General features: G+C 42.9%; 1 protein-coding gene across 2 annotated transcripts in view, besides 2 other annotated features; it reads right to left on the bottom strand.

Annotated features, from left to right (window-relative positions):
• The window catches only part of ZNF805 (zinc finger protein 805), a 22097-nt gene continuing 243 nt past the window's right edge, over positions 436 to 22289 (bottom strand). Inside the window, exons 1-4 of one of the 2 annotated variants that reach the window (NM_001023563.4) lie at positions 22243 to 22289; positions 19115 to 19241; positions 14464 to 14559; positions 436 to 10091 (exon numbers count right to left, since the gene is read on the bottom strand). The exon at positions 22243 to 22289 is cut by the window's right edge and continues 243 nt beyond it. In NM_001023563.4, coding sequence (NP_001018857.2) covers positions 8461 to 10091; positions 14464 to 14559; positions 19115 to 19241; positions 22243 to 22272 — 1884 coding nt within the window. In that variant the 5' untranslated portion in view covers positions 22273 to 22289 and the 3' untranslated portion in view covers positions 436 to 8460. The remainder of the gene's footprint in view (positions 10092 to 14463; positions 14560 to 19114; positions 19242 to 22242) is intronic. The other variant, NM_001145078.2, reaches the window with a different exon arrangement.
• Positions 16829 to 17123: an enhancer, noted in NCBI's record as "tiled region #2652; HepG2 Activating DNase matched - State 5:Enh". NCBI's record gives its function as "activates a minimal TATA promoter and a strong SV40 promoter by Sharpr-MPRA in HepG2 cells {active_cell/tissue: HepG2}" and the evidence as "EXISTENCE:reporter gene assay evidence [ECO:0000049][PMID:27701403]".
• Positions 22235 to 22289: part of a silencer, noted in NCBI's record as "silent region_11073", that runs on past the window's edge. NCBI's record gives its function as "represses an Ori minimal core promoter by ATAC-STARR-seq in GM12878 lymphoblastoid cells {active_cell/tissue: GM12878}" and the evidence as "EXISTENCE:reporter gene assay evidence [ECO:0000049][PMID:35858748]".

Genomic DNA, 22289 nt, shown 5'->3' with positions numbered 1-22289 from the left:
TCCAGCAGGTAGGAACAAGGACAGAAAGTATAAGCAGGTAGTCTGTCTCCCAGGTCCACACTCTTGACACTACTCCGAAAGAGGCAAAAGAAACTGTCCATTTACAATTTAGCTGAGACCTTCCAATTGTGAGATATGAAACACAAACAGATTTTGCTATGAGCAAAAATAATCCATCTCTTAGCAATCATTAAAAATATTCAATTCTCAAAATTGAAATACATCACTGAGCATTGTGGAGCCTCCCCAACTTTCCACAGTGGAAAGGAAAGGCTATCTGTGGGCCGGAGTCTGAGTACAAAGAGGAGTTACATATACAAGAGACCAGATTTCTCAAGGTCTCTAGCATCATGTCTCTGTAAGGGCCCTCTCAGCTGAAGCCAACTGCTCCCACTTCCTCCAAGTGAAACTCACAGACAGATCCATCAAAGTGACTAAGCCTGCAACAACATATTCTTTAATCTCAAATTATCCACATTTAATGATAAATTATGGCGAACTCCATATTCTTCAACTATCTCTGTTGTAGCCAGAAGCTACAACTTTCAATAGCAAGAACAAAGAGTGGATGAGAAACTGACATACGTGCTAGGGAAAGAACACGGCATTTACCTACCCATCACATCTTTGCCGAAATAAAGGCCAAGAAAGGGTGTATCTGCAAATCAAACCACTTGAAGCCTATCTGTGAAAGATACTAGGCAGAGGCAAGATCCTTTCTCACAAGACTTCCTCTGTTCCCTGTCATCACTGAATTAAATCCTGGCTAGTTTGTTAAGTATTTTCACTGTGACTCTGACTTTTTTTTTTTTTCTTGGTTACAATGGTTTACACGTATATAAGCCTTCATCTCAAAGCTATGGCTTATTTCTGTTATAGAAAATTTTATTTGCTTAATGTTTGTTACAGAAACTTAAGCTAACTCAGCATTTTTCCATTTAAGTTACTGTGAAAAAGAGAACAGAGCAGGCCAGAGACTGCTATTCTTTGATCTTGCAAGGTTCATCCTTGGCTGGAGTCTGTACTTTAGGTTTTGGGAAGTTTCCCATTGTTCCCAGTAATGAGAAGTAGCTCCGTGTGCCTAAATTGTCTTACGCTGAACACCTCCTGTTCTTCTGGAGGTCTACAATTGTGGTATGTGCTAGAAAGCAAGTCCAATATAAACTCTGAGCAATGGGTGCTCAAGACGACTTCCTGGAACACATCTCACGTGTGTTGTTTTAAGTCCCAGATGGAGCTTCAATGAAGCACATCCTGTGTGATTTCATTAAGATTCTCAAAGATTGTGCCTGGTTTCCTCTGGACTTGGGTTTGAGCCTTTTGCTGAGTTTGCTCTGGATTCTTTCGGTGTGGTAAATCATAGCCATTGAGTATGACAAAATGCTGAGTCCTGTGAGTCTTCCTAGCAAATCAAATCTGGAAGGGGTCTTGAGGACTCCAGCATTCATTTATTATGATTTCTAAAATTGTGTACGTAGGTCCATAAAAGTCCATGTAGATTCTCTTCGAGGTCAAGGTACGCCATATATGGTGCCACCTATATGCACAGCTTTGTGGTAAACGCGCTGAGGGAACTGAAAATAATAATAAAAAATACCCTGCTGTGTATGGCCATTTACCAACACACACATATATATTGAGGGTCTACTACGGAACAAAAAGGAATGGGGCAGTGGCCGGACGTGGGAATGATAAAGGAAAAAGAAATGGCCACAATGTGTCTGGTTTGAGTAACATGACAGAAATTAGGGGGATACACTGATGTTCTTCAGGCATCTCAAACACACCTAAAACAACATGCATGCCTTAGCCCTTCTCTACTCCTTCTCCCCACCCCTCCCACATATCCTCAAACCCAGACATTCTCCGTCTTTTCTACAGTCACAATAGCTTATGCAGGCATTAAAGAGTGAGTCTGGTTTATCTCATTTGCTTGAAGGAATGGCCAAGATGTACTGTCAAATAAGAATAGTAGATTATAAATAAATGAGCACAGTTTGACCCATTTTAGTAAAAACAAGTGATGACCAGGAAACAAAGACCCACCTTATGAGAAGCAATAAAGTGGTTAAGGACATGGATTCTGAAGCCAGTGCAGTGGCTTCCAGTCCCCAAACCCAAATTTCATAATTGTGAAATCTTTGACAAATTCCTTAATCTTTCTGTACCTCAGTTTTCTAATCAGTTAAAGGGGGGAAATAACATTATGGAGTTGTCATAAAGGTTAAAAGAGCTGACGCATGTAAAACATTCGAAACAATGTCTGATACACAGTAATAATTTGTGTTCTCTTATGATGATTATGGGTGCATCCCCACGGCCAAGGTCATGGCCACATGATACATGCATATAGGCTCAGTGAGTGCAAATACAGAAAAGGTGTGGAAGGATGACCAGTGGTTAACGACATGAGAAACATCCAACCTGGAGACACAGATTTAGGGAAACACTGTAGATAATTGAGAGTAAAGTGTCTTCAGCGCAAATTAACTCAGTCATGGGGTGAAGGACAAGTTAGAAAACAGCAATGATCATGATGGATGCTGGGAAGTAAAGCTGTTTTACAGATGGAAGAAAGACACAGACCCTAAAAAGGAAAAAAGCCAGGAATTCACAGAAGCCAGGAAAGGACCTTCAAGTCAGAGATTTAGCAGTATGGAGGTCCAAAAAGAGAGTGAGGGGGTCAAAAGGGACCTTTCTGAGACGTGCTTAAGTCAGGCAACGGTGGTGGAAGCCATTTAGTAGTATCTGGGGAGTAAAAGGAAATGTAAAGGGGTGGCGACAGTGCACAGAATAGTTACTCAGGGCATGTGTGTGGAAGAAAGAATAACCAGAGCTTGATAGGCAAGGAAGGGTGAAATAGGTTGGAAACGAGGCTTGAGATCCGACTAAAGCTATACATTATGGGAAAGAAGCTGGTTAATAAGGAGAAGTTAAAGACTAAACAAGAGTATGAAAGACAGAGGACTTAGACAAGTTTGGTTGGGGAAGGGTGTGTGTGTGTCTAATAAAAAAGTGTAAGAGTGATCTTAGAAAAGGAATGACCCCTTCTCCATTGAGGATATAACAAGGCTTACAGAGCTGGAGGATTTTACATACAACCTTCCCGTGGAGTACGTAACTCTGAATGATATGCAGATCACCCTGATATAAGATCTGTTGACAGAAATATTTAAGAAGCCCAATATAAAAGATTACAGGACTTCTACTCCTCCAGATAATTTAGGATTTCTATTCAAATATTGAGACAAACCACCAGAAAACCATGACTCTGGAATTTAGTTTTTTCTGTTTTCTGAGCCCTTTAGTATTATAAACTAAGCAAAGAAATCAAAGATGTACAAAAGAACCAAATGGAGGCCAGGCACAGTGGCTCACACCTGTAATCCCAGCACTTCGGGAGGCCGAGGCAGGTGGATCACCAGATCAGGAAATCGAGACCATCCTGGCTAACACAGTGAAACCCCGTCTCTACTAAAAATACAAAAAATTAGCCGGGCATGGTGGCGGGCACCTGTAGTCCCAGCTACTCGGGAGGCTGAGGCAGGAGAATGGCATGAACCCGGGAGGCAGAGCTTGCAGTGAGCAGAGATCGCGCCACTGCACTCCAGCCTGGGCAACAGAGCAAAGAGTCTGTCTCAAAAAAACAAAACAAAACAAAACAAAACAAATGGAAATTAAACAACTGAAAAATACAAAAACCAAAACGAAAACTCATTGGACAAGCTCAACAGTAGACTGCATATGGCAGAAAAAAAGAATCAGTGAGCTGAAAAAAAGTCAACAGAAATTAACCAATATGAAAAAAAGGGAAAAATAGACCAGAAAAAGGGGGTAAACATGAAAGCACAAGAGACCTCTGAGACAGTAACAAAAGCTCTACCATTCATATCACAGAGAGGAGAAAGAGTAGGGATGAAAAAATATTTCAAGAAATAATGGTTAAAAATTCCCAAATTTGGCAAAGGGCATAAACCGACAAATCAAAAAGCTAAACAAAAACCAAACATGATACACTCAAAAAAATTCCATGTCACACACCTCATAACCAAACTTCTGAACACTACAAAAAAAACAAAACACTTTGAACGCAGGTTGATAAAAATGGCACATTATGAACTAGGGAACAATGGTTCAAATGGCAACAGATTTCTCATCTGAAACCATAGCGGACAGAAGGAACAAACATGTTTCTCAAGTACTAAAAGAACTGCAGACCCTAAATCCTATTATCCCACAAAAATATCCCTCAGGAATGAAGGGAACATAAAGACACTTTTAGAGACACCAGCAGACTGACCCTAGAAAAAAGGTTACACAAGTTCGCCAAACAGAAAGAAAATGTTAATAGAAGGTGGCTTAGAATTTCAAGAAAGAATAGTGGAATGGGTAAAGAGATCAACAAGCAATACTTCCTGTGACTTTTGTAAAATATATTTGACAGTGGAAGCAAAAATTACATTTTCCAACATGGTGCTCAATTTTGAAGAGGAATTACTTTAGACAATTATATTAACAGGCAAGGTGAAGGGACCAAGTAAGGTTTCTATACATCAAAGTGCTAAATTTTTCATACCATTAACTGTAATTATGTTACATATGTACATTATACTACTTAAAGCAACCACTAAAAAATTAATACAAAAATACAAAGAAATATATTTAAAAAACACTACAAATATATCAAATGGAATTCTAAAAAATGTTAAAGACAAAAAAAAAAAAACCCAAACAAACCAAGAAAGAAGCAACAGGAAACACAAAAAACTAATCATAAAATAGCAGACATAGCACTAACATAATTATTGTAAACTTTAAATGGTCTAAATACACCAATAAAAGACAGAAATATGCAAACTGGGGCCAGACACAGTGACACATACCTGTAATCCCAGCACTTTGGGAGGCTGAGGTGGGCAGATCACCTGAGGTCAGGAGTTTGAGACCAGCCTGACCAACATGATGAAACCCCGTCTCTACTAAAAATATAAAAATTAGCTAGGTGTGGTGGCAGGCACCTGTAATCCCAGCTACTTGGGAGGCTGAGGCAAGAGAATGGCTTGAACCCGGGAGGCAGAGGTTGCAGACTGCGCCACTGCACTCCAGCCAGGGCGACAGAGCAAGACTCCGTCTCAAAAAAAAAAAAAAAAAAAAAATGCTGTGCGTGGTTGCTCATACCAGTAATCCTAGCACTTTGGGAGGCTGAGGCAGGTGGATCACCTGAGGTCAGGAGTTCGAGACCAGCCTGGCCAACATGGTGAAACTCCATCTCTACTAAAAATACAAAAAATCAGTCAGGCATGGTGGCGGATGCCTGTAATCCCAGCTACTCAAGAGCCTGAGGCAGGAGAATCACTTGAACCCAGGAGGCGGAGGTTGCAGTGAGCGGAGATCGCACCACTCCACTCCAGCCTGGGCAACAAGAACAAAACTCCGTCTCAAAAAAAAAAAAAAAAAAAAAAAAAGATACGCAAACTGGATATAAAACCACAGCCCAAATATACGCCATTCACAAGAAACTTACTCCCAATATAGTGATATAGATAAGGTTTAAAAAAATGATGAAGTGTAAATCATGCAAGCATTAACCAAAACGTAAGACTGACCACACAAATATCAGATAAAAATTGATAAGAGTATTAACAGGAACAAAAAGGGACATTACTTAATTATAAAAGGGTCAATACACCAAGAATACTAAGCAAACCTACATGTGTATATACCAAACAACAGAGCTTTAAATTATGTGGAGCAAAAACTGATAGAACTTAAAGGAGGAATAGGTAATTCCACAATTATAGCTCAGGACTTCAACATCCTTCTCTTGGCAATTGATAGAAATACTAGACAGAAAATCAGCAAGGATACAGGAGACCTAAATAACACCACCAACTAACAGGATCATACAAACTTTTACAGAAACTCCACCAAATGACCGAGAACACACATTCTTTTCAAGCAGCTATGTAAAACAAGACAGCCTATATCCTGGGTCATAAGGAAAAAAAGTCAACAAATTTCAACAGTAACATCAAATGCAAAACAAATTAGAAATCAATAACAAATAGCAGGGAATACTCCAAACACTATTAAACAATATACTTCTAAATAATTCCTGGGTTAGAGAAGATGTCTCAAAAGGAATCAGGCAATCTTAGAACTGAGTAAGATAATCAAAAGCATATTAAGACTTGTGGGATGAAACTAACAGCAGTGTAAGAAAAATGTATAGAACTTAAAGCTTATATTAAAAAAGAAAAAAAGCCTCAAATCAATAACCTAAACATCCACGTCAGGAAACCACTGAGTCAAATACAACCAGAGCAAGTAGGAGAAAGGATACAATACACATCAGAGCAGATATCAGTGAAATTAAGAACAGAGACTGGAGAAAAATCAGTGATATAAAGTGCTATTTCTTTGAAATGATCAATGAAATTGACATATGTCTACAAAGACTGACAATAATAAGTGATACATTTCCAATATCAAGAATACAACAAGGAACATAAGTACAGATCCTGCTGCCATCAAGAGGATAAAAGGAAATATTTCAAAGAATGCTACAAATTAGAACATTTACATAAAATGAACACTTCCTTAAGAAAATCTATAAAAATTCATCCAATATGAAATACTCTGAATAGTTCTATACCTATTAAATAAAATAAATACATAATTAAAAAGCATTCAAAAGGAAAATCTCCAGGTCCCACTTCTTCACTGGAGAAAGCTACCAAACATTAAAGGAACAAATAACACCAATTCTACACATGATCTTCCAAAAAAACAGAAGAGAATTCCTTCCAATTCATGTTAGGAGGTTAGTTATCATCTAGACATCAAAACCAAACAGTAACAGTTGAAGAAAGAAAACTACAGATTATCACTCATGAAATCAGAGGAAAGCTTCCTCAACAAAATACTAGCAAATGAAATACTGTAGCATAGTACACAAACAAAATTATACTCCATGATCAAGTAGGGCTTATCACAAAGATGTGAGGCTGGTTCAATACTTGAAACTCAATCAAGGTAACACATCATATCAACTGACTATAGAAGTAACATCACATAATTAAATCAATTGGTGGAGAAAAAGCATATGACAAAATTCAACACTTATTAATAATAACCAAAAAAATCCCAGCAAATTAGGAATAGAGGGAAACTTTCTAAACTCGATAGAGAAACTCTTTGGAAGCAACTTTCAACATCATAATAATGAGAAACTGAACATTTCCCCCTAATATCAGGAACAAGGCATGGATAACTTGTCACTATTCGTATTCAACATCACACTGGAAATCCTACCTAGTACAATAACATGAGAAAAGCAAATAAAAGGTATACAGATGGGAAGCAAGAAATAAAACTGTCCCAAATTGCAAATGACATTTCTATATTTAAAATCCTAAGGATTCTCCCAAAAGAAATGGCAAGAAATAATGAGTTTAGGAAGGTTGCAAGACAGCAAAATAAGATTGAAAAAATAATGTTTCTGTATACTAGCCAACATCATGTGAATATTGAAACTTTAAATATCAATGCCATTTACAATCACTCAAAAAACTATGCAGCTATAATTCTTATTTTAAATGTGCAGGAGTTATACTGTGTAAACTATAAAACAGTAATGAAATATATCAAAGAAAATTTAAATAATGAAAAGATAGGCTATGTTCATGAATTGGAAGACTAAGATGCCAATTTCCAACACATTGATCTATAGATTTAACTCAATTTCTATCAAAATCCAAGCAAGAATATTTGAAAAACAGAAAAACCAATCCTAAAGTGTATATGGAAAGTCAAACTAGGAATGCTAAATGAATTTTAAATAAAAATAGTAAGAAAAAAGAAATCACATTACCTAATTTTGAGATTTACCATACAGCTATAGCAATCAAGTAAACCAACAGATGGGAATCAAGAAAAATTCTCAGTGTTAGTGTTTAAAACCCATTAAAAAAGAATTTTTTTAAAAAATCAAAGACCTAAACAGTATTAAGTGGTACAATAAAATGTGCGCATTCATGTTTCTTTTAATCCTTAAATATAAAAGTATTTCATAACTCAAGGCTTCATTATTTCTCATAAAAACAATGCTTCTTAAGAAGAGACAATGTTGTAGAACAAAGACATTGAGTAAGTTTCCAGACCTTCCCTTACTAACTTTCCTGACACAGGACAGAAATGTACATACAAGACAACAGTATAAAAGCAGTGTCTGCATTTCATTTTCTTTTCTATGTCACCTCTTTCTGTTTATAAAAATTCCTGAGATAACATTGCACTGTAAACTAATGAGAAAGATGGAGCTAAAGGTTTTCCCAAGTGCGTAATAACCACTGGGTGTTTTTCCAGGATGAATTCGGATGGAGAATAAGGCTCTAAGCTGCGTGATTTTCTAATATGACTCCTTAGGTGACAAATGACATTTGGCAACAGAAGGTTTTCTCACAGTGAAGACACTTGTGGGGTTTCTCTTTGGTATGTACGATCAGATGCCATGTAAGATGCTTCCTCTTGCAAAAGATTTTCCTCAGTGGTGACATTCAAAAAGTTTTTCCCCAATAAAAGTTCTTGGATGTTGACTGAGGTCTGCCCACTTGTAAAAGGTCTTCCCACATCTGTTACACTGATAGGATTTCTCCCAGTATGCATCCTTTGATGCTGAGTGAGGGACGAGCTGCGACTGAAGGCCTTTCCACATTCACTGCACTCATACGGCTTCTCTCCAGTGTGGATGATAGAGTGTCGAATGAGGTTTGTGCTCCAGCAAAATGTTTTCCCACACTCGATGCATTCATAGGGCTTCTCTCCACTATGAATCCGCTGGTGCCTTGTGAGGCCTGACCTGCGGTTGAAGGCCTTTCCACACTCCATGCACTCATAGGGCTTCTCTCCAGTGTGGATGCTGAAGTGGCGAATGAGGTCTGCCCTATTGCTAAAGGCTTTCCCACACTCTTTGCACTCGAAAGGTTTTTCTCCAGTGTGGGCCCTTTTATGCAAGATGAAAGTAGAGCAGTGGGTGAAGGCCTTTCCGCATTCACTACACACATATGGCTTCTCCCCAGTGTGAATCCGCTGGTGCCTTTTGAGGTAGGATCGGTGGTTGAAAGCCTTCCCACACTCGAGGCACTCAAAGGGCTTCTCTCCAGTGTGGATGACATAGTGGTGAATCAGCGCTGCGCTCTCACAGAAGGCCTTCCCACATTCACTGCACTCATAGGGCTTCTCCCCGGTATGAGTCTGCTGGTGCCACATGAGGTATGATCTGTGTTTGAAGACCTTGCCACATTCGAAGCACTCGTAGGGATTCTCACCACTGTGGATGATGTAGTGTCGAATGAAACCTGGCCTATCTCGAAAGGCTTTGCCACACTCTTTGCACACAAAGGGTTTTTCTCCAGTGTGGCTCCTGTTATGCAAGACAAAAGTGGAGCGGTGGGTGAAGGCCTTTCCACATTCACTGCACTTATAAGGCTTCTCTCCACTGTGAATCCGCTGGTGCTGGGTAAGGTGTGACTTCCGATTAAAAGCCTTCCCACACTCCATGCACTTATAGGGCTTCTCCCCAGTGTGGACCATGTGGTGCTGCAGGAGGTATGTACTCTTGCTAAAGGTTTTTCCACACTCTGTGCATTCATAGGGCTTCACTCCAGAGTGAATCCTCTCATGCCGAGCAAGCAGGCGTTTCTTGTTAAACACTTTTTCACATTCATTGCATTTAAAGATATTTTCCTCTTCCTGAATAACTGGATTTTTACCTGATCCATGTGAGTCACAGTCATGGACATCATCTCCTAAGGAGACTCGATCCTGTATAATCCTTGAACACACACTATCAGCTGTCCCTAAACCATCATGTTTGGGGCTCATTTTTCCAGGAAGCTTCTCCTTTTGGGAATCTAACCCTGGTCTCAAGCGTTCTCCCTGCATTTCTGAAAACCCATCCTGATCCTTGGGTTGCCCCAACTGGGAGTCCCCTGAAGCTCCTTGTGTTAGTTGTCCCCAAAAAGAGATTCCTTCAGACAAGGCTAGCTCACAGGTGGTAGGTTCTGTGCTCTTGGGTTTTCCTTTGTCACCTGAAAGAAATCCAACACACAGAAGGGCTTGTTAGTAATGTAAAAAGAGAAGAAACAAACTCACCACTTCAGTAAAAAAAATGAAGTTATAAATGGTGCCTTTATGTCTGTTATATTTTGCCATCTTGAACCCCAGATCTATAATTTGTTTCTTTTATTTTCCTTGGATTCCTGACTCCTTGAAAGGGAGACCAGGCAGAGAGACCAGGTGAGGGGACAGGGCCTAGAGTGGAGATATCGCTTCAATTCCAGACTAAATATTTATATAAAGGTAACTCATTATAGGTACCTAAATAGTTTATCCTAAATAGATGACTCTGGCTGAGGTCTGGTGGCACCAGAAAGACCAACCAGTGAGTAGAAGGTTAGGTCTCTGAGCCACAAGATATCAGCTGAACTCTGGAAAAGGGACGAAGGCTGGAAACTTCACATGGCAATGTGGGCAATGTCTCGATTAACCGTGCTTGTGTAATGAAGCTCAACAAACTCTAAAAACCAGAGCTCCAGTGAGTTTCCTGGGTTTGCAATGCTCTGTGCACATATTTTACACTCAATGCTGGGTGGGTAACAAGTTACTGAGGAAGCTTTGTGTTTGGAACCCCTTCAGCCCCACATCCCGTGTCCTCTTCTAATTTGTATGCTTTGTCTGTAATAAACAAAACTGTGAGTATAATAGGTTTTAGAAAGTGTTGTGAGTCTTTTTAGCAAGTTATGAAACCTAAGGTTGGTTTCAGGAAATCCCTGAATTTGCAGTTGGAATTAAGAGGATTTGGGTAGACTTGACAAAGTCCTGGAGGACTGTGTCCTTATCTTGAGTTTGGCTAATCCTGGGTAGAAAAAGATCAAGGCAGTTTTCCAATAGAAGGTACCCAGTGAAGTAAGTCCCACTTGTCACGAGAGAATGTGAGAAAGACACTATAGCCTTAGGAGAAAGAATATGCAAATGAGCTACAGTGCATGAGAGGGTGGTGGTGATGAGAATCTAGGGAAAGATGAGGCACAGGGGGACTGATTCCCAAGATTCTGACCTAGGTGACAGCTGTGAAGAGCAGTGCCACTCTCAGGACAGAGCTCATAAGGCAGAGGTACCACTCTGGCACAGACATAATGCAAACTGGGAATAAAGAAGAACAGAGAGCTCAGAAATCCCCTTGCACATAGATGGGGCTTTGGTAGATGGCAAAGAGGCACAGCACCTCAGTGATGAGAGACTACTAAGGAATTAGAGCTAGAAAAATTGGCTACCAACACGGGGAATGGAAATATTGTATTCTATCACATTCTATACTCAAAATCAACTTCAGATTGATAAAGACTTGAATGCCAAATGGCAAGTTTTACAACTTACAATAAAATAAACAAGAATACCTTTTTGACATTAGGGTAAAGCAACATTTTTTCCACAAGGTACAAAATCATTAATCACGTAAAAAAAAAACATAAATCAGACTACGCTATGTAAGGAACTCATTGAACAAAAGATACTTTAAAAAGAGTGGAAGGACAAAATTAAAAACTAGAAGAATATACCGGCAGCAAATGTAACTGATAAAAGATAGGTATCTATAATGTACAAAAATAAAATCAAAAAGAGAAAGCCAAAGAAGTTAATTGAAAAAAAGGCATTTATCACCAAATAACATCTCACAGAAGAAAATATAGATTGGCTCAGAATCATGAAAGACACTAAACCACCCTACCAATGAGGAAAATGCAAATCAAGAGCACAACAGATAATATTTTGTGTCCATTTAATCGGCAAAAATTGAGGGGCCTTATAGTTTCAAGTATTAGATAGGATATGGATCAATGGAACCTTCCAAAAATTCCTGAGAGGAATTTTTTGATATAGGCCCTTTAGAAAACAATGAGAATGATCTTGCAAACTAGAACATTTGCATAATCTATAATCCAATTATTTCACTCCAGAAACATCAAAAATGTGTCCCTACACATGTGAAAGATGAACAACATACATAAATGTCCACAGCATCACTGATATAAAAACATGTAAACAATTAAGTGCTCAGACAGTGAATGAATATATGAATACACTGTGAACCATGAACACTGAATTGTTGAATTTTCTTCAAGGGTAAGGAAGTTGAGCATATTTTTATGTTGAGTACAGAAAGGATGAAGTTACAAAACAAGCGGAATATAAGTGAAGAAAAAACGTCCATGAAAACGTATAATATAAACTCTTGAAAAAACTGGCCGTGGCCAAGGGTAAGACCTCTTCCACCAGGGGAAAAGAGAAGCTACCGATATGAGAGGTTGAGAGGAATGTGTAAGGACTGCCGATTAAACAATAGAAGTAGATGACACTGTCAACACGAAAACCTGCTAATACATCAGCAGTCATATGCTGAGTTGCTGGGGAAATATTAACTGTCTGGAACAAGGTCTGAATGCTGGAGTACCCCACGCAGGACAAAGAGCTGACCAGAGGCACAAAGCAGATACAGAGATTAAGTTTTGGGAGTCTATTAACATCCCCTAGAAAAAAGATGATAAGAGTTTAGAGTAAGACCATAAGGGGGCCGGGCCCGGTGTCTCACGCCTGTAATCCCAGCACTTTGGGAGGCCGAGGCGGGCAGATCACCTGAGGTCGGGAGTTCGAGACCAGCCTGACCAACATGGTGAAACTCCATCTCTACTAAAAATACAAAATTAGCCGGATGTGGTGGTGCATGCCTATAATCCCAGCTATTCGGAAGGCTGAGGCAGGAGAAACGCTTGAACCTGGGAGGCGGAGGTTGCGGTGAGCCGAGATCGCGCCATTGCACTCCAGCCTGGGCAACAAGAGCAAAACTCCATCTCAAAAAAGAAAAAAGCAGAAGGATAGGTCTCATGGAGGTGATAGAGGGATGAATTCAGGAGGCATGCATGACGTGAAATCGAAAGGCTGTGGAGATAGGCTGGATGCAGGGACTCATGGAGGTGGAGGGGTTGACTTGTCTGAGGTTGGGGCCAGTCCCCTAATCTGCCTGGATGGCAGAACCATTCACGGAAACTTGGGAGGTGGCAGGAGTGAGCAAGATCATGGGTTCCTTGTTAGGCATGTTGAGTTTTGTGCTTTTGAGATTTTCAAGTGCAGATGTGGCACTGAGGAGGGGACAATCTGGAACAGACTCTGAAGGGCTGAACAGGGACTGCACAGACACTCAGGGTTGGATGAGCAGCTCAAGGAACCCACGCGGGCAGAGGCCAAGGCTCTGCAGTGGCACCAATCCACACACATGACAGATGGCCTCAGTGCCCTCAGCAGCCTGAGTGTGGGACACAGAAGGTCAAATGTCACCCTGAGGTTTTTGGAAAACAGGAGATATAGGAAGACATGGGCAAACTACTGCTTCTTAGTGTCTGATTGACACTCAGGGAATGGGTGGAAGGAGAAGGTGGGAGAGGCTGATAGGCAGAATATAAGTGGAAAGAGAAATTGGGAGAGTAAGAAAGGCCCTATTCCCCAGAGTTCAGAAGGAAATGTAACGTATCATCACTCATCAATGTTTATATGACATGAGTAACACTCATAGCTTATTTTGATAAGTCACTTACTATGGCTCAGAAACTATGCAGTTTTATGCATTAATGTATCACATGATTACAACTTCAAACTGCCCAATGGCATAAAAATAATGTTTTTCTTTTTTGTTTTTTATAAAAATAATTTCTAATATCATTTTTCAGGAACAGACTGAGTGTAGTGGACTGAGTAGGTGCTCACCAGACCATCTGCTCTTCTCCTTGGACAGGCAGCTCAGCCACAATTCCTAGACTCATGGACCCAAGTACAGCCAAATGCCCAGTTCCCATGGGTGAGATGTGAGGGGAGGTCTGGAAGTGGGTATGACTTTCCTTATTCCCTTAATTCTCTACCAGCAAGAAGATGTCAGGACAACCTTAAAGCAACAGGTTGATGACAGAAGGACTCTAGGTCCTGAATAACTGTGTGGTACAGAGTTCCCTGCTGACCCACACAGACCTTGGTATGAGTGAAAAAGAGTTTTCATGTGTGAATCATTTAAATTTTGGAGTTTGTTGGATACAGCAGTTGGTATTAACTTAGCCAAACTCATATACAAACTTCACTGGGGTCACAGAGTAGATGACTGGCTAACCAGGGTTCCGGCACACAAGGCTGCAGCCCCAGGACCAGTCTCAGTTCACACACCTCACTCCTCCCCAGGAGTGGCGACAAGTGCGATGGGGCTGGGAGGACGGAGAAACCACAGGTTAAAGGGCTCCAAGGCTCCCAAACCCTTAGAGAAGCCACAGTGAGAAGCTTCCCAAGAGATCCCAGGGCCAGTGGTCTCCTCGAAGTCTCAAGCCAGCAGGGACTCCGACCTGCCCAGATCTTGGCTCCTACCTGGACAGGTGCCTTGGGAGAGGTCTTCCTTCCTGGTCCATGGCTCCTGCCCATGCTCTAGGTGGTAGATCAGCTCAGGTCTGGGAACAGGACACCCTGTTTATGGAGAAAGCAAGTGGACACATGGATGTGGGTGAAAAGAAATAAAGACCTTCAATCTAGTCTGGGACTTCAGGATGGGGACCAGACCTTGGAATGAAGCTACACCCATCCATGGGAACAAAAAGTTAGCACGTGATCTAGAAACCAAGGGCAGGGCATGTCATGCTGCCACAGAATCTCTACTCCTAATAGTAAGTCAAAAACTAGTATTTATAGGCTATAACCATGTCCAGGGGACTATGCCAAGCATTTAAATGCATTAAAAAGTGAACAATATTTATGGAATATCTTAGAGAAAAAGTGATACACTTTAAATATTAAACATTGATTATTTTCATTCAGAACAAGGTATGTATCTTCACTTATCTAAGTCTTTTTTTTTTTTTTTTAACATCCTAAGCAATGTTTTATAATGCTCTTCCTCTAAACCAAAGACTAAATGCGTCTGTTGCCCAGGCTGGAGTGCAGTGGCGCGATCTCCGCTCACTCAGCCTCCTGAGTAGCTGGGACTAAAGGCGCGTGCCATCATGCCTGGCTAATTTTTTTGTATTTTTAGTAAAAATGAGGTTTCACTATGATGGCCAGGCTAGTCCTGAATTCCTGACCTCAGGTGATCCACCCGCCTAGGCCTCCCAGAGTGCTAGGATTACAGGCGTGAGCCACCATGCCTAGCCATTAAATGAGGATTCCAGTTGAGGATTTCCTCACGGTATACCCAGGAAGTCCATATCATAATCAACACCATTTTGTTGACAAAGAAACCCAGGCTCGGGGAGGTAAAGTGATTTGCTGAAGAGCACAGAACTGGAGAATGGCTGAGTCAATAAGGAAACCCAGGTCCTGCCATCTCTGTCTGTGCTGTTTAACCACAAAGCTCCACAACGCTGCCCAGAAAGTGCCAGGTCAAGGCATGCCAACGACAATAATCATGATGAGGACGACGGTAATAGTACTGGTGGAAACAGAGATTGTAATGGCTCCCTGCACGCAGCCTGGTCTCCCAGGTGCTGTTCTGAGCCTTTTCATAAAATAACCCTTGACCCTGGCAACAGCCCTGGGATGCGAATATGGTTAAGTCCTCATTTGAACAATGAGAACACTGAGGCACAGGCAAGTTCAGTAACTTGCCCAAGGCCATGGAGTTTTTAAAGAGCAGAGCTGGGGCTGGACACCAGCGTTCTGGCTTCAAACCCTACTCTCCCAAGAAATACAGTAAGGAGGAAACCACGAGCACCAGAGTGGGTGGCAGAGGGTGGTGACGAGGCAGAGATGTGAGCTGGAGGATTCATCCTCAGGGACCAGCGGCCAGGATGAGGGGCAGGTCAGTGACTCCAGACCCCAGCATTTCACGAACCATTAAAATATTTAAAGACTGAACATCCTACTGTGATATGGTGACATAAGGATATTTACAGAAACTTCATATAGCAGCGCAGTGGCTCGCATCTGTAGTCCCAGCTACTGGAGACGGTAAGGTGTGAGGATCGCAGTGAGCTATGATCTTGCACCACTGCACTCCAGTCTGGGAGACAAGAGTGAAACTCCATCTCAAAAAAAAAAAAAAAAGTTCACAAGAGAAGAATTTTTTCTACACAAAAACATTCAGTGATAGCTTCATAAAATGAAGGTGTTTCATCTGTGCTGAGTAAGTTAAACTGGATGAGGGACTCACAGGAGTGGCTAAATTTTCCTTACTTTGCTGAGGACAGGGATCCTGTGAGAATAAATGGAGCATGAACACTGCCTGGAACAGGCCTGAGACACCCAATCAGTGCTCTGGGGATCTGGACTGTTAACTGCTTTTCTTTTTTTTTTTTTTTTTTTGAGACGAAGTCTCGCTCTGTCATCAGGCTGGAGTGCAGTAGCGCGATCTCAGCTCACTGCAACCTCCAACTCCCTGGTTCAAGTGATTCTCCTGCCTCCACCTCCTGAGTAGCTGGGATTACAGGCATGCGCTACCACACCCAGCTAATTTTTGTATATTTAGTACAGACGGGGTTTCACCATGTTGGCCAGGATGGTCGCTATCAACTGACCTCGTGATCTGCCTGCCTTGCCCTCCCAAAGTGCTGAGATTGCAGGCATGAGCCACCATGCCCGGGCTGCTTTTCTTAAAAGTGATCCACTTTTTATTTTTCTTAGATTTCTTCAAAAATGGAATCCTTATCACTCTGGTAAATGGAAAATCCAGAGTCACTTGTCTTGATGGCAGGTAACCATGAAAATGTAGCAATAAATCAAAACAACGTATACAAAAATTAGCTGGGCGTGGTGGCACCTGCCTGTAATCCTAGCTACTCAGGAGGCTGAGGCATGAGAAATGCTTGAATCCAGGAGGCACAGGTTGCAGTGAGCCAAGATCAAACCACTGCACTCCAGCCGAGGCAACAGCGAGACTCTGTCTCAAGACAAACAAACAGTGCTCTTTGGTCCCTGTGAGCTCATGCTGCTTGTTCAGGGCTGTGAGCCTAAGGCTGCTCCCTCTGTAGAAAAGGGGAAATTACCAACAGTTTGCAGGACGTTAAGTCTCAGCACTAAACCAGAGTTTTCCTCAAATGCTAAGGAGACAAGACGAGAAGAAATAAAAGAACAACTTCCTCAAGTGTCTCTCAGCACCAGCTGATGTAGTGTCTGTCCAAGCACTCTCTGAAAAAGAGCTTCTCGCCTTAGCACAATTGACATTTAGGTCCAGGTAATTCTTTGTTTGTGAGATCGGGGGAAGAGGAGGAGAAAGGATCTGTCCTGTGCATTATAAGGATGTTTAGCAGCATCTCCACCCACTAGCTGTCAATGTTATCATCTTAGGTTTTTTTTTTTTTTGAGATGGAGTCTCGCTCTGTCGCCCAGGCTGGAGTGCAGTGGTGCAATCTCAGCTCACTGCAAGCTCCGCCTCCTGGGTTCACGCCATTCTCCTGCCTCAGCCTCCCGAGTAGCTGGGACTACAGGCACCCGCCACCACGCCCGGCTAATTTTTTGTATTTTTAGTAGAGACAGGGTTGCACCGTGTTAGCCAGGATGGTCTCTATCTCCTGACCTTGTGATCCGCCCATCTCGGCCTCCCAAAGTGCTGGGATTACAGGCATGAGCTATCGCACCTGGCCCATCATCTTAGTTTTAACAACCAAAATGTCTCCACACATTGCCCAGTGTCCACTGAAGCTCAACATCGTCCCTGTTTGAGAAACACTAGCTTAGAAAGACATTAAAAAGGTAAAGGGAGGAGGCTATGGTGAGAAAGGGGCCTCCCCAAGATTCGGTGGTCAGGGAAGGGCTGGGTGAGGAGGCAAGTGGTGCTGAGAAGGGGCGGCCATGTGAAATGCTGAATTACCCTGAGAACACTCATCAAAGAGAACAGCAAATGCAATGGCCTGAGGTGGGTGGGCACTTGGGGAAATAGCAAGAAGCCCAGCAAGGCTGCAGCAGAGTGACTTTAGAATCAGAGGATGTGAAGGTGATTGAAGGACGTGAAGGTTGTTTAGAATAACACCTGGTGGGACGGAAGGTCAATGTCTCCTTGGGGCCTGCCTGACTCAACCCTTCTTAGTGAACATCCCACCAACCCTTACACCACAGACTGGGCTGTGGAGCAGATACATGAGCAACCAGGCCCACCCAGGCAGATCCCGCTCTGGAACTCAAAAAAAAAACTGCAGACAGAGGCCAGTCTATGCTGGGCAGTGGGTGAGAGATGGAGGCAAGTATGAGCTGGAGGTGGAGCAGCATTTGCTGCCTCAAACACGCCCCACAGAGGCCAGAGAAACAGACAAGAAATCTGGAGGGGAAGGAGGGGTCACAAACAGTAAAACCTGGGGTGGTTACTCTTCCCCTGAACTCGCTGAGGCAGAAAAAACCATACAGAGTAGACAGTGACATGAGCAGACCCAGACAGAGAAACCAGGACCCCATCGTGGCGGTTCTCAGTTCCTACTTCAACCCCTCATAACATACAGCTGGCAATCCTACCTTTGAGGTCTGCAAAACACCCCATTTCCTTCCACCAGCTTCTCTCCTTTGGCTGAGAGCCAAAGAGTACTCTTATTTCTTGTCCAAAGCGATGCATGGAGACTGTATAGGAAGAGGTGAGTGTAGGCCAGGCGTGGTGGCTCACACCTGTAATCCCAGCACTTTGGGAGACCGAGGCGGGCGGATCACCTGAGGTCAGGAGTTTGAGACCAGCCTGGCCAGCATGGTGAAACCCCATCTCTACTGAAAATACAAAAATTAGCCAGGCATGGTGGTGGGCACCTGTAATCCCAGCTTCCCAGCTACTTGGGAGGCTGAGGCAGAAGAATCGCTTGAACCTGGGAGGCGGAGGTTGCAGTGACCCGAGTTCGTGCTAATGCATCCAGCCTGGGTGACAGAGTAAGACTCCCTCTCAAAAAAAAAAAAAAAAAAAAAAGGAAGAGGTGAGTGTTGTAGAAAATGACTGAATTTGTGGGAAGGAGGCAAGGCCAGTAAGAGAGGACTTCTTGACCCATCAGGCCTGGAGTCAGAGGGTGGAACGAAGGAGGTGGCAGATCCCCTGCATGGTGGAGGGGGAAGGCCTTACCCAGAGATACCAGGAGCCCACAGTTTTCCAGCATCACCTCCTGGTACAGGGTCCGCTGAGCTAGGTCCAGCTGGCCCCACTCCTCCTGGGTGAAAGTCACAGCCACATCATCAAAGGTCACAGACACCTGAAATGTCAAATAGAGGTAGTAGAGTTTGCTGTGGGACTATTGCATGTGCTTTGCTGGAAAAGGTGCAACAAGATCAAGGCCCAAGTCACTGAGGGCCTCCTGAGGGCCTAACTTTGTACCAGGCTGAAGGAGGAAGGCAGACATTGCTTTGGACAGATTACTGTAATGTAAAAGAGAAAAGCCTCCTATATAGGAGCCATCAAAGAATAACAGAAGACAATGGCAATAACTCGTGGATGGCGAGATGTAGACAATTAGAGTTCGAGGACCTCAAAGAAATGAGGAAATAGTGACAATAATAATAGCAATAATGTTGACAACCACAGTGCCTGAGCCTCACTGGTCCAGCTCATGCTGAAGCTTCATGTTCTGTTTTAAAGCAACTACAAGTCCCAAACTCTGAAGTCAGACTTCTCAAGTTTGAATCCAAACTCCTGAAACTGACACTTGCCAGTTTTGTGACCTCAGGGACCTCATTTATCTCTGCCTCAATTTTCAGATGAATACAGAATTCCCATTTTCCCAATAACAGACATGAGTTATTCAGAGCTTACTGGACTTTGGGATTTTATTAATCCTCCCACAGCCCCTGAAGTATTACTAAACACCACCGCCAATCACCTCCATGTCACAGTCACTGACCTGAGGCTAAGGGAGCTCCACAGATTCTCCTAGTCTTTTGTGTTTTCTGTTTGTTTGTTTCAGAGACAGGGTCTCACTCTATTACCCAGACTGGAGTGTAATGGCATGCTCAGAGTTCACTGTAACCTTGAACTCCTGGGCTCAAGCAATCCTTCTGCCTTAGCCGCCCAAGTAGCTGGGACTACAGGAACGCACCACTGCGCCCAACTATTTCTTTTTGGTAGAGCTGGGATCTTGCTATGTTGCCCAGGCTGGTCTCGAACTCCTAGCCTCAAGTGATCCTCTCACCTCAGCCTCCCACAGCACTGGGGCTACAGGTGTGAGCACCAAGTTCAGCCAGAGTTTTACATGTTATAAGCATGATTTATATATAAGAGACAGGATTTTAACCCAGGTCCCTCTGCTTCAGGGTTTAATACTGTGACCCCAATAATCCTCCACCACCCACGTGAATCTACTATAATACAGTTGTGAAGCATTTCTACATATTTTTGCTATTTAATCTATTTTAGCAGCTCCTGAAAATATCCCCAAGATGTGGGCAAAACCCTCATCACCAAATTCACAAGTACCAAATGCCTGACGAGGGGCAGTGCCTGGACCAGCTCATCCTCTCCCCTGGACCCCAGGGAGATTGCATAATGAACCATTAGCCTTTTCCTTCCCTGAGTCCTGCCAGCAGGTATCCCTAAGGCCAGTGTGCTTCAGGACCAGAAAACTCAAGTGGCTGAAGATAATGCAGGCTGTGGTCATGAGAACCCAGGCTTATGACTGGCCAAAATGCCCTATAGGCTGAAGGCAGGACGAACATCCAACAAAAGACCACAGGATTTTGCCCTTCCAGGCCATGTCTCAGCAGGTGGGGATGGGGGGAACCATGGTAACCTCATAAGTCCTCTTGGACCTCCTTAAACAACCAACACACTTTGCCTTTGTCTACACAGTCCTCTCTAGTGGAATGTCTGCCTTTCGCTTCCAATGGCCACTGTGACTTGCTGGAAAGACTGCAAAGTTCACCTCAGGGCTTCTCAGCCAACTGTCTGTAAAAACAAAGGCTCTGGTGGTCCACACGCTAAATATGAGTTTGTTACTTAAGTGCTATGTGACTTTCAGCAGGTAACTAAACAGGTCGGAGTCTTGACCTCCTCTTGTGTACAGCAGTGTTTATAATAGAATGTCACTTTAAGGAGATCAGGATTAAATGAGATGATAAATAATGCCCATTTCTCAGTTCACATCAAGGACTCAATGAAGGCCAACCGTTACAGTTCTTGTGTTATTATTTATGCTCTTTGTCCCCACAAAATCCTTTAAGACCTCAACTCAGTAGGTGTCTAAAACTTTGCCAGATTCTCTATACAAAAACGCTAGACCAAGGGCAGGTGAGAAGGGGACTACTTTAGTCTGAACTGCCATGAAAGGCCGCTTTAAAGAAGTGACATTTGAGCAGAGCCAACAAGATGTGAAAGGGTCTTGCAGAGATCTGAGGATAGTGTCTGAGGCTGAATGAACTGTAAAGGTGAAGGCTGAGGGGTAGGAAAGAACTCTGCGTGATCAGATTGATATGTCTGAAGGGCTGAGCCAGGGAGGAAAGGAAGGAAACAAGGACAGAGGTGGTCAGCCATAGTGGACCTGTGTCTGAAGCGCTGAGCCAGGGAGGAAAGGAAGGAAACAAGGACAGAGGTGGTCAGCCATAGTGGACCGGGTAGGGACTTGCAGGCCAAGGCTGAGTTCGGATGATGTGTGTGACGGGAGTCCCTGGAGTGGAACTTCATCCATCCTTCAAGCAATTATTAAGCAGCTTTCAGAGGCCTGACACTTTAGCAGTGGAAAGCTGCAGAAGGGCTAACTAGAAGTGGGGCATCGTATGTGATTGGTTAGGCTGAGCACGTATGGCTTTCTCTGCTTGGTCCTCTTTTGGAGGCGGAGGCAAAAATTAGAACAGTCAGTTACAAATCAAGTCCTATTTGGGGCCTACTGTTCCAGGAGTTACCGTTTAGCCTCCTGAAATGTCACCAGAGAGTAATCTAGCTCCTTGCAAGACTAACTTAAGGCAGACTGGCTTCCAGAGTAGTTTATTGCAGAACAGGAGGCTGGTTTCCTGGGCAGGTTGCTACAAAAAAATTGTACGTCACAGCCCTATAATCGATGTATAGTCTGCCTACTGTCCGCTTCAATATTCAGTCTCTCAGGTACTACCACGACAGGAGATAAACTAAGTGACGAGCCTGCTCCACGTTTCGTAAACAAACAAAACTACAAAGAGGAATCCTGTGGCTGTCTTGGCTTCCGGCCTGCCCAGGAGGCTTCCCCGAACTAGCAGAAAAGCAGCAAGGCCGAAACCTTGTCCACTCACCTGCGCCGGGTCCGTCAAAGCCATCGCCATACCGGGACCCTGTGGCC

The sequence above is a fragment of the Homo sapiens genome, chromosome 19 (assembly GCF_000001405.40).
Source record: "Homo sapiens chromosome 19, GRCh38.p14 Primary Assembly".
Lineage (NCBI taxonomy): Eukaryota > Metazoa > Chordata > Mammalia > Primates > Hominidae > Homo > Homo sapiens.
The sequence above is the reverse complement of the archived record's forward strand: the minus strand, read 5'-3'. Positions and strand labels throughout refer to the sequence as shown.